Source organism: Homo sapiens, chromosome 7 (genome assembly GCF_000001405.40).
Source record: "Homo sapiens chromosome 7, GRCh38.p14 Primary Assembly".
Taxonomy (NCBI): domain Eukaryota; kingdom Metazoa; phylum Chordata; class Mammalia; order Primates; family Hominidae; genus Homo; species Homo sapiens.
Window position 1 is genome coordinate 6,611,110 of NC_000007.14, and position 14,285 is coordinate 6,625,394.

General features: G+C 56.4%; 1 protein-coding gene across 4 annotated transcripts, besides 3 other annotated features; it reads left to right on the top strand.

Annotated features, from left to right (window-relative positions):
* Positions 2,631–3,384: an enhancer, noted in NCBI's record as "H3K4me1 hESC enhancer chr7:6653371-6654124 (GRCh37/hg19 assembly coordinates)". NCBI's record gives its function as "activates a minimal SCP1, AML or CMV promoter by ChIP-STARR-seq in naive H9 embryonic stem cells {active_cell/tissue: H9 hESC(naive)}" and the evidence as "EXISTENCE:reporter gene assay evidence [ECO:0000049][PMID:30033119]".
* Positions 3,385–4,138: an enhancer, noted in NCBI's record as "H3K4me1 hESC enhancer chr7:6654125-6654878 (GRCh37/hg19 assembly coordinates)". NCBI's record gives its function as "activates a minimal SCP1, AML or CMV promoter by ChIP-STARR-seq in naive H9 embryonic stem cells {active_cell/tissue: H9 hESC(naive)}" and the evidence as "EXISTENCE:reporter gene assay evidence [ECO:0000049][PMID:30033119]".
* ZNF853 (zinc finger protein 853) lies at positions 4,501–13,181 on the top strand. Of its 4 annotated transcripts, none has more exons than XM_011515439.4 (4): positions 4,501–5,077; positions 6,076–6,198; positions 6,476–6,553; positions 10,013–13,181. In XM_011515439.4, exons 2-4 carry the CDS (start codon positions 6,114–6,116, stop codon positions 11,860–11,862), a joined length of 2,013 nt encoding a protein of 670 aa, XP_011513741.1. In that variant the 5' UTR covers positions 4,501–5,077; positions 6,076–6,113; the 3' UTR covers positions 11,863–13,181. The 4 variants fall into 4 exon arrangements, with proteins under 4 accessions (XP_011513741.1, XP_011513740.1, NP_001340475.1 ...); XM_011515438.4 differs by having other exon boundaries at positions 6,081–6,198; NM_001353546.2 differs by lacking the exon at positions 6,476–6,553.
* Positions 12,825–13,325: an enhancer, noted in NCBI's record as "H3K4me1 hESC enhancer chr7:6663565-6664065 (GRCh37/hg19 assembly coordinates)". NCBI's record gives its function as "activates a minimal SCP1, AML or CMV promoter by ChIP-STARR-seq in naive H9 embryonic stem cells {active_cell/tissue: H9 hESC(naive)}" and the evidence as "EXISTENCE:reporter gene assay evidence [ECO:0000049][PMID:30033119]".

The following is a 14,285-nucleotide window of genomic DNA, read 5'->3' on the forward strand; positions in this document are numbered from 1 at the left end:
TAGGAGACAGAGTGAGACTCTGTCTTGGAAAAAAAAAAAGTGTCTTTAACATTCTGAGGGGAAACAATTGCCAATCTATAATCTATAGCTGAGACAGGGCTGGGCACAGTGGCTCACACCTGTAATCCCAGCACTTTGGGAGGCCGAGGCAGGTGGATCACGGGGTCAGGAGTTCAAGACCAGCCTGGTCAACATGGCAAAATCCCATCTCTACTAAAAATACAAAAATTAGCTGGGTGTGGTGGCAGGCACCTGTAATCCCAGCTATTCAGGAGGGTGAGGCAGGAGAATTACTTGAACCTGGGAGGTGGAGGTTGCACTGAGCTGAGATTGCACCACTGCACTCCAGTCTGGGCAACAGAGCAAGACTCTGTAAAAAAAAAAAAAGGAAAAGCTGAGACAGGAAGATCACTTGAACCCAGGAGTTCAAGGCTGCAGTGAGCCATGATGGCACGACTGCACTCCAGCCTGGGTAACAGAGCAAGATCTTGACTCAAAAAATAAGAAAGAGACAGACATGGTGTGAGAACAGGGATTAGTATGAGGATAACAAAGGCAAATCCCGGAAGGACGGCGGTGGAGGGGGGGGTCCCAGGTTGACAGTGGGCAGCAGCTCTGACAGCAGCCTGCCCAGTGTGGGTCTGCAGGGAGGAAGCCCCTGAAGAAACGCCCCTGGGAAACAGTGAAGCAAATACCTTCCTGACCAGATTGGCTAGGTGGAAAGTTGAGCTGGGAGGTATTTATAGCTCCAAAGGAGGATGTGGGAAGGCTTACTAAAAGATTCTAGCTGGGGCCGGGCATGCTGGCTTATGCCTGTAATCCCCGCACTTTGGGAGGCCAAAGCAGGTGGATCACTTGAGGTCAGGAGTTCGAGACCAGCCTGGCCAACATGGTGATACCCTGTCTCTACTAAAAATACAAAAATTAGCCATGTGTGGTAGCTTGTGCCTGTAATCCCAGCTACTCAGGAGGCCGAGACAGGAGAATCACTTGAACCTGGGAGGTGGCGGTTGTGGTGAGCCGAGATCAAGCCATTGTACTCCCCCCGGGAAACGAGTGAAACTCCATCTAAAAAAAAAAGATTCTAGCCCAGGCCGGGCATGCTGGCTTACGCCTGTAATCCAAGCACTTTGGGAGGCTGAGGCGGGTGGATGACTTGAGGTCAGGTGTTTGAGACCAGCCTGGCCAACATGGTGAAACCCCGTCTCTACTAAAAATACAAAAATTAGCCAGGCGTGGTGGCACATACCTGTAGTTCCCAGCTACTCGGGAGGCTAAGGGAGGAGAGTCACTTGAGCCTGGGAGGCAGAGGTTGCAGTGAGCTGAGATCACGCCACTGCACTCCAGCCTGGGTGACAGAGCAAGACTCCATCTCTAAATAAATAAATAAATAAAATAGCTGGGTGCAGTGGCTCATGCCTGTTAATCCTAGCACTTTGGGAGGCTGGGGTGGGAGGATTGCTTGAGGCCAGGAGTTCAAGACAAGGCTGGGCAACATAGGGAGACCTCGTCTCAACAAAAAAAATTAGCCTGGTGTGGTGGTGCATCCCTGTAGTCCTAGCTACTTGGGAGGCTGAGATGGGAGGATCACCTGAGCCTGGGAAGTTGAGGCTGCAGTGAGCTGTGATTGTGCCACTGCACTCTAGCCTGGGCAATGGGAGTGAGACCCTGTCTCAAAAACAAACCACAAAAAGCTCAGTGGGAGGAACTGTGTGTGGACTGGGTGGGACCCCTCTCTGGTGGCACAGGTGAGCAACGAGCCTAGGGGAGGGGAGCAGAGCCTGCAAGGTGTCAGAGAAGGGGCCAAGAGGAAGGTGAACCGAGGTGTTTCTCCCTGGACAGCATGGCAGAAGTGTCCAGTGCTGCCCAGAGGCCAAATATGATGAGGGTTTAGTGACGTGGACATTGCTGGTGACGTCACGGGGAGTTGTCTGGCTGCAGTGAGGCCAGGTCAGAGAGGAGAAGGAGGGATGGGCAGATGGGGATATGGCAAAGGAAGTTTGGCTGTCAAGGGCAGGAGAGAGAAGTGGGTAGCTCTTTTATGTTTTACAGACAGTCTTTTTTTTTTTTTTTTTTTTGAGACGGAGTCTCACACTGTCGCCAGGCTGGAGTGCAGTGGCGTGATCTCGGCTCACTGCAACCTCTGCCTCCTGGGTTCAAGTGATTTTCCTGCCTCAGCCTCCTGAGTAGCTGGGACTACAGCATGCGCCACCACGCCAAACTATATATATATATATATATATATATTTTTTTTTGTATTTTTATTAGAGACAGGGTTTCACCATGTCGGCAAGGATGGTCTCTATCTCTTGACCTCATGATCTGCCCACCTTAGCCTCCCAAAATGCTAGGATTACAGGCGTGAGCCACCGTGCCCGGCCAGCAGACAGTCTTGCTCTGTCGCCAAGGCTGGAGTGCAGTGGCATGATCATGCCTCACTGCAGCCTCCAAAGCCAGGGCTCTCACGATTCTCCTGCCTTGGCCTCCCAAAGTGCTGGGATTACAAGCATAAGCCACTGCGCCTGGCCCGGGTAGCATGTTTTTAAGATGGGAGAGCCCTGAGGATGTGTAAATCCTGTCAGAAAGAAGCCAGTGGAGGGAGAGGATAAAGACCTGAGGAGGGAGGGGCTCCTCAGGGCATGAGGGTTTGCAGGAGGCTAGAAGAGGCAGGTGCACACCTGCTCTGATCTTAAACTCCTGCCCATATCCTCCTCACCTTATCTGCTCGTCCTTATCCTGCCTAGCAGGCTGTCATCTCCACTTCACAGACGCAAGGCAGTCATTTGCCTGCAGTTACCTGGCTGCAAAAGGTCCCATGACCCTAGATGACTCTGTCTCCAAAGCCAGGCTCTTGCTGCACTTTTTCTAGCCTGGGGCAGAAGCCACCAGAGTGCAGGCTTTTCAGGCAAGGGCCAGAAAGGAAGCCTGAAACTCCAGTGCCTGTGGGGGCCAGAGAGATTCCAAAAACAGGACAAGGTGGCCACCTGTGCCACAGCAGTGTGAGCCCAGGGACAGGAGGAAGGGAGGGGGCTGTGAACCCTGAGGGCTCTTGTCCCCCACCAGGGGGGCATTCCTGCTGCACCCCAGGAGCACCTCCCAGATTCAAGCGATTCTCCTGCCTCAGCCTCCAGAGTAGCTGGCGTTACAGGCATGTGCCACCATGCCCGGCCAATTTTGTATCTTTAGTAGAGATGGAGTTTCTCCATGTTGGCCAGGCTGGTCTCCAACTCCAGACCTCAGGTGATCTGCCCGCCTCGGCCTCCCAAAGTGCTGGGATTATAGGCGTGAGCCACCGCGCCCAGCATGTTTGCTTGTTTTTAGATGGAGACAGGGTCTCACTCTATCACCCAGGCTGGGGTGCAGTGGCGCGATCATAGTTCACTGCAGCCTCGACCTCCTCCCGGGCTCAAGTGGTCCACCCACCTTGGCCTCCAAAGTAGTTGGGATTACAGGCTACTTTTCAGTAGCCCAGCTAATTTTTTAAAAACCTCTTTTGTAGAGATGGGGTCTTGCTATGTTGGCTAGGCTGGTCTCAAACTACCAGCCTCAAGTGATCCTCCCGAAATGCTGGGTTTACAGGCGTGAAGTACCATGCCCTGCCCCCAGATCTTTGGTTTTTTCTAAAGAATTTGAGCATCCCAATTTGAATTTGAATTCTCCAGGTTAGAGAGGTTTGTGCACCGAGAACAGGAAAGTTAGGTGGTGCAACATTAAGACGGGGTTAGGGAAGGCCTCCCTTGGAGAAGACCCCTGACCCAGGCAGGAATCCACTTGCCAAGTAGGGAAAGAGGAGAGGAGAGGGTGAGGGAGGTGGGAGGCCTGACCACCAGCCTTGTGGTCAGCGAAAGGCCGCAGGGGCGCTGGGCGGGAGGATTCCAGCTCTGCCAGTTCTCCACGGTGGCCTCATTTGATCTATGCAGGTCACAGTCCCTGATCGGGGGAGGGAGGCACACACTCCCTACTGGCCTGCCCTCCCCAGCCCCGGGGTCTAGGAGGAGGGCTCCACGGTGCGGACCGGGGTGGCCTCTCCAGGGCCCGCTCGGGCCGGGCCCGGATGGCGCCTACTCCCTCTCCGAGTGCCATCGAATTGTGTGCTAATTAGCCACAATTTGCACCGCGGCAGGGGCGCCCCGAGGCCACGCCTGCCCTCTAGGGGGTGGCAGGGATCGGGTTGGGTACCCCCCACCCAGACACCCAGGCAGTGACAGTCGCCAACCCCGTGGCGCGAGGACACGCGCAGCAGGGATGCGGCACAGCGCGCGCTGCGCTCGGCACCGGCCAGCCCGGGACGCCCCAGGGGCCGCCGCATCGTGTCCCCCGGGCCGGGTGAGTGGCCGGGCCGGGAATGGTTAAGCCCACCGAGCTGCGGCTGCCTAGAGCGGCGGCGGCGACGGCGGCGGCGGCGGCGGGGGCCGGGGCGCGGGGGCGCGGCGGGCGGGCAGGGGCGGGGGACAGGATGCGGATGCCGGGGGGACTTCCTGTGCCGGCCCCCGCGCCCCCGCCCCCGGCCCGGCCAGCGGCCCGCACGGACGCACTCCCGGGCGGGCGGGCGAGCCCAGGGGGACCCGGCCTTGCCGCGGCGCCCGCCCCGCCCCCGCCCCGGCCCCCGCGCGGCCCGGCCCAGGCCGCCCGCAGGCTCCGGGCACCTGTAGCCCCCGAGGACCCGCGTCGCCTGGCCGCCGCCGACCCCAGGCGGGGCCACCCCGTGGTGCCGACCCCGGGCGCCGGCCTGGATCCCGCTGCCCGCGATGGTCCCGGGGGGCCGGCCCTGAGCCCCGCGCGGGATTCGGGGCCCTGCCTCCCGCCCCAGCCCCCGCCGGAGAGTCTCCACCAACTTCTGCTCGGCCGCTCCTCTCAGCCCCTTCCCTTGGCCCAGGGCGACCTCGGCAGCCCAGAGGGCGTGGACCCTCCGGAGTGCCCAGAAAGCCCCCGGGGTGGCCCTGCGCCTCCTGGCTCTTTCTGGATGGAGGCGCCTCCGGAAGGAGCCGGCTGCACGCCGTGGCCTTCACCTCGCAGCCTCTGCTGACCACACCTCCCTAGCGCAGAGGCTGCCCGGGAGCAGGAAATGCTCCACCAGGTGAGGCCCAGGGGGTCGTTGGCGCTGGGCAACCGGGGACGCGTCCCTTGAGAGAGTTTGGACTGGATGGCACGAGTCGGCCTGTTTAGGGGAGAGGGGCCAGCTCTGCACGGGCCAGGGTGGACTCTCAGGAGCGCCTGGGCACAGGGCCAGGCCGTGGGTGACAGTGCTCTGGACACCTGCCTTGCCCGGGAGCTGGGGTGGCAGCTGACACACGTGGCCTGCTGGCGGCCTTCTCAGAGCAGGCCAGGAAGGCAATAGAATGGAAGGGCGCCAGGCGCAGTGGCTCACTCCTATAATCCCAACACTTTAGGAGGCCGAGGCAGGAGGATCGCCTGAGGCCAGGAGTTCGAGACCAGCCTTGGGCAACATCATCTACAATATAAAAAAACATAAAAATTAGCTGGGGGTGATGGCACGCACCTGTAGCCCCAGCTACTCAGGAGGCGGAGGCAGGAGAATCGCTTGAACTGGGGAGACGGAGGTTGCAGTGAGTCCAGATCGCACCACTGCACTCCAGCCTGGGTGACAGAGTGAGAATCCGTATCAAGAAAAAAAAAAAAAAGTATTTAATAAAAAAAGAATTGAAGGAGGCAGGGAGGATGTTGATGGACAGTCTCTCTTTGGCCCCAGAGCTCCCCGCCCTGAATGTCCCTTTGGTGACTCTAGCTTTCCTCCCTTGTGAAGGGCTGATACCCACAGTTGTGTCTCTGTGGGGCTACCCCACTCTCCATCCCGCTGTGAAAAGTCAGGAGAGGCAGTCCTGCCTCTATGCAGGTGACAGCCTCTGGTGCTGTCTGCCAACTCCCCAGTCCTGAGCCTCCAGGCCGCCGGCACTCCCCGTTCCCCGTTGCGGGGGACAGTCCTATAGTTGCAGCAGGTATGGAGCTGACCGCTCTGGGTGGCCCGAGGCAGAGGTGGAGGGCCTTTGGGGGCCTGTGGGCACCTGGCGGGGGTCAAAGCACTCCAGCCTGGCTAAACTGCTTCCTTCCTTTCAGCACAGCCGACTCCCGGGAATCGGGGTCTGACCGCCAGGATGGAAGTGGGGCCAGCCACCGAGACCTTCGTGCTGGAACTTCAATGTCTTGAGGATGGGGGCCCAGGGCCTGACACCCTCTCAGGTGAGGGCCTCGGGGGATCCCTTGACAGAGCCTCATGCCTGCCTGCTGTGGCAGAAAGAGGCTCAAGGGTGGCGGGCAGCCTGCACAGACTCACACCAGCCAACCTCAGCTGCATTGAGTAACACCAGCAGCTCTCCCTTGAGATTTTCCAAGGTGGCTGTGTCAGGCAGGCTGAGGCCAGGCTGGTGAGGGGCTCCCCGCTCCCCACATGGGTGCTGACTGGACTTAACACTCACACGCGCTGCTGGCTGGAACTCATTGCTGTGTTTCCTGGCAGCCAGAGGGCCTCCACCATCCTCCCACCTGGCCCCAGCTCCTGAGTCAATTTCCACTCAATTTCCCGGATCCGATTCAGGTACTAATAGGCTCTCTTCCTCTGCCCCTCCTGCCCCAGATGTTGGCTCCCTGGCTTCTTCTCCCCTGTGGCCTCGTAACCTTTTCCACTTTAGCTTGACCTCTGCTTGCATCTGTTTTTCTCTACCTGATGCCCAGGGGCAGATGTGGTACTGCAGAACCTTCCAAGACCTCTTCCTCTGGGACCCACTCTGGGCAAACCTTCTCTGGTGGCCACACTCATGAGAGCCAGTTTCCATTCTGTGCTTTAAGGGTGCTGAGTGAGGGCCTGGGGCAGGGCGGGACAGAGCTTGAAAAGGACCAAGGGAATTGGAGGGGGTGGGATGGGGATGTGTGGAGTCAAGAAGGACCGTTCTGACCGAGCATGATGGCTCATTCCTGTAATCCCAGCACTTTGGGAGGCCGAGGCGGGCAGATCAGTTGAGGCCAGGAGTTTGAGACCAGCCTGGCCAACATGGTGAAACACTGTCTTTACTACAAATACAAAAATGAGCTGGGTGTGGTGGGCACCTGTAATCTCAGCTACTCGGGAGGCTGAGGCAGAAGAATCACTTGAACCCAGGAGGCAGAGGTTGCAGTGAGCCAGGATCATGCCACTGCACTCCAGCCTTGGTGACAGAGTGAGAGTCCGTCTCAAAAAAAAGAAGAAGAGGAAAAGAAGACCCTTCTGACTTGTAAATTTACCTGACAAAACTTTGGGAGGGTATACACGTCAGACAACACTGGACTAGATGTTCACTAAAATGCCTTTGTTAAAAATGCTGAGGTCAGGCACAATGGCTCACACCTGTAATCCCAGCACTTTGGGAAACCGAGGCAGGTGGATCGCTTGAGCTCAGGAGTTCGAGACCAGCCTGTGAAACATGGCAAAACCCCATCTCTACAAAAAGTTTAAAAAATTAGCTAGGCGTGGTGTTGTGTACCTATAGTCCCAGCCACTTGAGAGGCTGAGATGGGAGGATCGCTTGAGCTTGAGAGGTTGAGGCTACAGTGAGCTGAGATTGCGCCACTACACTCCAGCCTGGGTGACAAGAGTGAGATCCTGTTTAAAACAAACAAACAAACAAAAACTGAAATTGCTGCCCCAGGGAGTCAGAGTGGCCTGTGGTCAAGACTGTGCCAGAAAAGAGGAGACTCAACACAGAGGCATGATCTGTCTCATTCCTCCCAGAAGAGGTGGGAGAAAGGAGGGTCCATGAGACATTGGACTTGCTGGGGGGACAGTTTTCACCCTGTCTTCTACCATGTGCTTCCCCCCAGCCAATGTCAGTGTCTATGAAAAGCACGCTCACGGATCTGTTAGCCTAACCAAAGGTTATTAGGAATATTTTACTAGAGGAAATTATATGCATACAGATCTCCCTTGGTGGATTTTTTTTTTTTTTTTTTTTTTTTTGAGACAGAGTCTCACTCTGTTGCCCAGGCTGGATTGCGGTGGCTCAATCTTGACTCACTGCAACCTCCACCTCCTGGGTTCAAGCAGTTCTCCTGCTGCAGCCTCCCGAGTAGCTGGGACTATAGGTGCCTGCCACCATGCCCGGCTAATTTTTGTATTTTTAGTAGAGACAGGGTTTCACTATGTCCCTTGGGTTGTTGTTTTTGTTTGTTTGTTTGTTTGTTTGTTTTTTTGATAAGGAGTCTTGCTCTGTCGCTGGGCTGGAGTGCACTGGCGTGATCTCAGCTCACTGCAACCTCTGCCTTTCAGGTTCAAGTGATTCCCCAGCCTCAGCCTCCCGAGTAGATGGGACTACAGGCGCACACCACCACGCCCGACTAATTTTTTGTATTTTAGTAGAGATAGGATTTCGTCATGTTGGCCAGGATGGTCTCAATCTCCTGACCTCGTGATCCATCTGCCTCGGCCTCCCAAAGTGCTGGGATTATAGGCGTGAGCCACCGCGCCCGGCCATCCCTTGGTTTTATTAAATCAATATATTCTTGGAAAAATGGCCAGAAAGCAAACTTTTATAAATCAAAGCATTGTCTTCCATTACAAAATGGAAAACATATGATGTTATAGGGAGAAGAGATGTTGAAATCAGAGTTGGGAACGGAGAAAGCCTCCTCAAGTCACATGTAGAAAGAAGGATTGGGATTTTCCAGTAGCACAATAGTAATACTCAAAACGAGAATCTCATGGTGTACACGGTGCGGAAAGAGAAGCGTAGTAACGGAGTGGTGCTGTTTTTGCAGGGCCTCCCAGGTTTATGCCTCCCAAAGTGTTGCGATTACAAGCATGAGCCACCACGCCCAGCCTAGTTAGTCCTTTGTATTCCTGAATGACAATCTCAAACAGTCCCAGTCTCCTTGGTATTTTTTTGTTACTTTGCAAACCAATCCTAACCTTCAGAGAGAGGGAATTTTCAAGCACCTACCAGGCTCCAGGTACTATGCCAGGGCTCTCCTTGTTGTACTGTTTAAGCAGATGGTGTGGGTATCACTGAGCTATTTTGTAGACAGGACTGTGAGCCTGCAGGAGGTTGTATACCTGCCGACTGGTAGAGTTAGGTTCTGAACTGAGAACTTCCTGTCTGAAACCTAGTGGTCTCTCTGACACTTTGGTGATTTTGGGAAACTACTTGTGGTAACACCTCCGGGCAGCTTTATATAAATTCTTTATTATTTACAGAGAAGGATAATTTCATTTATTTAAGGTGTGGCTGTAAGGTCGGAGTTCAGCATGGGGTTGATGGCTTGGCCGTTGGGACAGCCAGTTCAGTGGTTTCTACTGGAGGGTGATTAAGCGCAAGAGACTTCTCAGGATGGTCAGGGAGCCCCCAGCATCCCTGCTAGTGCCAGTGCCGAGATCAGAGCATGGGGCCTGTGTAAAGGGAAGCTCCAAGGAGGGATCAGGGAGCTGGGGTCCAGAGGGAGGTCACCAGCAGTCCCTTGGCCACCTACCTTCCTTCCTTCCCTTCCTTCCCTTTCTTCCCTTCTTCCTTTCTTTCTCTCTCTCTCTTTCTCTCTCTCTCTCTTTTGAGATGGACTCTCCCTCTGTCACCCAGGCTGGAGCACAGTGGTGTGATCTCGGCTCACTGCATCCTCCACCTCCTGAGTTCAAGTGATTCTCCTGCCTCAGCCTCCTTAGTAGCTGGGACTACAGGCACCTGGCAGCTAATTTTTTGTATTTTTAGTAGAGACAGGCTTTCGCCATGTTGCCCAGGCTGGTTTCGAACTCCTGAGCTCTGGCAATCTGCCCACCTCGGCCTCTCAAAGTGCTGGGATTACAGGCGTGAGCCACTGTGCCCGGCCACCTGGGCACATTTCCAAGCCACCCCTGCCCCTGCAGCATTTCAGTTTCTGCTGGGCTGCTATTGTTACTCGATCCAGCACTTTCGGGCTCCTGCTAAGAGCGTGTTAGTGTATCTTTGAGGGCAGGGTAAGGGGCAGGTCCTGGGGTCTGCACCAGAGAGCTTCCTGTAGATCTTTCTCTCTTGGCTTCCTGCCATTTCTTCCACAGGTGGCAGCGGTGGGAGCGAGAGTCAGGAGGAGGAAGAGCCTCAGGAGAGGAACAGCAGTCCACAGCGGCCAGCAGTCTCGGCCCCAGTGGGGGCCAGTGAAATCGCTGAGGAAACCCGGCCGGGACAACGAGAGTTGCAACTGCAGCAGTTAGAACAGCAGCCCGAGCCGCAGCAACAGCCGCAACACGAGCAGCTGCAACAGCCGCAGCCACACCTAGAACTGCAACAGCAGCCGCAGCAAGATGGGCAACAACAGCTATCTCAACTACAACAGGAAAAACACCAATCCGTGCACCATCAGGAACTGAAACCAGAACTGCAGCTAATGCACCAGCAGCAACAGTTACAGCCACAGCAAGTGCAAGAGCAACAGCGGTTGCAGCAGCAGCAGGAGCAGTTACAGACGCAGCAAGCACAAGAGCAACAGGTATTGCAGCAGCAGGAACAGCTACAGCAGCAAGTGCAAGAGCAACAGCTGTTACAGCAACAGCAGGAACAGTTACAGCAGCAGCAGCTGCTACAACAGCAGGAACAGTTACAGCAGCAACAGTTTCAACAGCAGCAGGAACAGTTACAGCAGCAGCAGCAGCTACTATTGCTGCAGCAGCAGGGACAGTTACAGCAGCAACTGTTGCAGCAGCAGCAGGCACAGTTACAACAGCAGCTGCTGGAACAGCAGCAGGCACAGTTACAGCAGCAGCTACTGCTGCAGCAGCAGGAACAGTTACAGCAGCAGCAGCAACAGCAGCTGTTGCAACAGCAGCAGGAACAATTGCAGCAGCAACAACTGCAGCCTCCTCCCCTGGAGCCCGAGGAGGAGGAAGAGGTGGAGCTGGAGCTCATGCCGGTGGACCTGGGGTCAGAGCAGGAGCTGGAGCAGCAGCGGCAGGAGTTGGAGCGGCAGCAGGAGCTGGAACGGCAGCAGGAGCAGCGGCAGCTGCAGCTCAAACTGCAGGAGGAGCTGCAGCAGCTGGAGCAACAGCTGGAGCAGCAGCAGCAGCAGCTGGAGCAGCAGGAGGTGCAGCTGGAGCTGACCCCGGTGGAGCTAGGCGCCCAGCAGCAGGAGGTGCAGCTGGAGCTGACCCCCGTGCAGCCGGAGCTGCAGCTGGAACTGGTGCCAGCCGCAGGGGGCGGCGGAGCGGCGGTCCCGGGGGCTCCGGCCGCGGTCGTGGTGGCTCCCCCGGGCTACGTGGTGGTGCAGGAGCTCATGGTGCTGCCCGCCGTGGCAGCGCCGGCCGTGGTGGCCATCCCGGGCCCGGCAGGCAGCGCGGCGTTGACCCCTGCACGGCAGCGGCGGCGGCGGCGCGCTCGGGACCGGCCGACCATCTGCGGGGAGTGCGGCAAGGGCTTCAGCCGCAGCACGGACCTGGTGCGCCACCAGGCCACGCACACGGGTGAGCGGCCACACCGCTGCGGCGAGTGCGGCAAGGGCTTCTCGCAGCACTCGAATCTGGTGACGCACCAACGCATCCACACGGGCGAGAAACCCTACGCCTGCTCCTACTGCGCCAAGCGCTTCAGCGAGAGCTCGGCGCTCGTGCAGCACCAGCGCACGCACACCGGGGAGCGACCCTACGCCTGCGGGGACTGTGGCAAGCGCTTCAGCGTCTCCTCCAACCTGCTGCGCCACCGGCGCACGCACTCGGGCGAGCGGCCCTACGTGTGCGAGGACTGTGGCGAGCGCTTCCGACACAAGGTGCAGATCCGCCGCCACGAGCGCCAGCTGCACGGCGCGGGCCGCTCCAGGGGCCTCGGCCTGCTGCGCGCCTCGCGGCCGGCGGCCCTCGGTGGCCCAGCCCGCGCGGAGCAGGCCGCTACAGCCACTGCGCCCGCAGACAAGGCGCTGTGAGGGCCGTGATCGGGGCTGCCTGGCCGGGAGGGGACCCCCCACCCGCCTCCACCTGAAAAGCTCCTTGACCCGGGTTCATGGGCGCTGGAGGCGTCCTGGAATATCCCTGGAGTAAAAGGCTTCCACCATCATCATCATCATCATCTTCCGGATTCCCTGAGAAAATACCAGGTTCACAGATTTCACCGCCAGAAAAATCCATCCGCCAAAAGAGAAGTGGACCGGGGCTGAAACAGCACACGGGACACGTTTGTCTGCCCTTTGAGGGGTCTGCCAAAGGTTTTCCCTCCGGGAAAACTGGACTTACTACGAACGAGGAAAAACCCCCAGTGGCGAGACGATTAATGACACTGGCCGAGGACTGGACACCCACCAGGGAATCAAGACGTGGTGAGACACACGTGGAAAATCTTCGATCCTGGTGAAAATGATCGCAAGGAGAAATTCGGGGAGGAAGCAAACTTGTTTGCACTATGTAGAAACTGACCAAGGCATCGAATCGTCCTCAGAGGCATTTGCCTTGAAAATACTTTCCAAGATGAAAATTCATCAGGGTGGGTATAATTCTGATGAAAACGCCTGTGTTCATCAACACAGGGTCAGAGCGCTCACCGGGTCGATGTGCAAATCCAAGCCAGGAAGTCCTGCTCCGGGTGGAAGGTAAAACCTTCCCTCCAGGGAACCAGGGGCTCCGGCGGGCATCGGAGGCAGCTTCTTGGCCTCTGCTGCTGTGTCCCCCAGTCCCCCCAGCCCGCATTAATGTCCTCTGGAATAAGAGCCTGTGGCTGAAGCAGAGGGCCTTCTGGGAGAGCTCTCCAAGGTCTGGAAGGAGGGTCCCCCAGAAGGAGCTCCGGGGTAGCCCCACTGTGGCCCCCCTGGACTCCACCAGCTTCATGCTTCTCAGATGCTACCCAGGGGCCGGCCCGGGGAGACCAGGGCAGATTTCTCCCGCACCAGGCTGTGGAGGTTTGGAGGGCTGCCTGAGCAGACACTGTGCCATTGCTGGGGCTGGGGAAAGAATATCTGAGACGACGTTTGGGAGCAATGCTCTTTACCACGTTCACCAAGTCGTCTGGGGCAGGGGTTGTGAGCTGCAGCAGTTGCTGGTGCCTTGTGGGAAGGTGGGGCAGGGAGGAGGCTGCCCGCCACCTCTGCCCCCAGTCACTTCCTGCTTGACCTGACTCTTCACATGTGGCTGCTTAATTCCTGCCCCTCTCCCCCCAGCTGCTTCTCCTTTACTAACACACCTGCTACATTTTACACATGTGTTGGTAAGTGAGAAACAGAAACGAAAAATAAATTAAAATGCAGAAATACAATGTCCTTGTCTTGGTGTTTTCACCTCTGGATTTTGTGTCTTCCATAGGGCTTCCTTTCTTTTCTTTCTTTCTTTTTTCCTTCCCTTCCCTTCCTTTCCCCGTCCCCCTTTTCCCCTTTCTTTCCTCTTTACCCTTCCCTTCCTTTCCTTTCTTCTTTCTGTTTCTTTTCTTTCTTTTTTTTTTAATGTTGCCTGGGCTGGTCTCAAACTCCCAGGCTCAAGCAATCCTTCCACCTCAGCCTCGCAAACTGCAGGGAGTACAGGTGTAGCCACTGTGCCTGGCCAAAGATTCATTCCTTTTTTTCTTTCTTTTTTTGAAAGAGGTTCTTGCTCTGTTGCCCAGGCTAGAATGCAGTGGTTTGATCACTGCAACCTGAAACTCCTGGGCTCAAGCAATTCTCCTACCTCAGCCTCCTGAGTAGGTGGGACTACAGGTGCATGCCACAATGTCTGGCTAATTTTTTTTTTTTTTTTTTTTTTTTGAGATGGAGTCTCACATTGTTGCCCAGGCTGGAGTGCAGTAGCATGATCTCTGCTCACTGCAACCTCCGCCTCCTGGGTTCAAGCGATTCTCCTGCCTCAGCCTCCTGAGTAGCTGAGATTACAGGCACCCGCCACTACGTCCGGCTAATTTTTTGTATTTTTAGTAGAGATGGGGTTTCACCATGTTGGCCAGGCTGGTCTTGAACTCCTGACCTTGTGATCTGCCCGCCTCAGCCTCCCAAAGTCCTGGGATTACAGGTATGAGCCCCTGCACCTGGCCATGTCTGGCTAAATTTTAATTAGTTTTTAGAGAGGGGGTCTCACTGTGTCGCCCAGGCTGTTGAGGTTCATTTCAAGGAAAATGTTTCTGGTTGCTCTCGAGCAAGGAGCATGCTGTTCAGGCCCATTACCCAATCCTCCTCACCCCAGACCAGCCTTCCAGCCTGAGGCCCTTGGCTGGGTAATGGACTTACTCGGTGAGAACCTCATGGGAGGGTCAGGTACCAGAGGGTGGATGCTTGAGAAGGCCAGCTTTGGGATCTAGTAAGGACAACCTTTGTATCAATTCAGCCCAACTTGGTAGTGGCTCACACCTGTAATCCCAGCACTCTGGGAGTCTGAG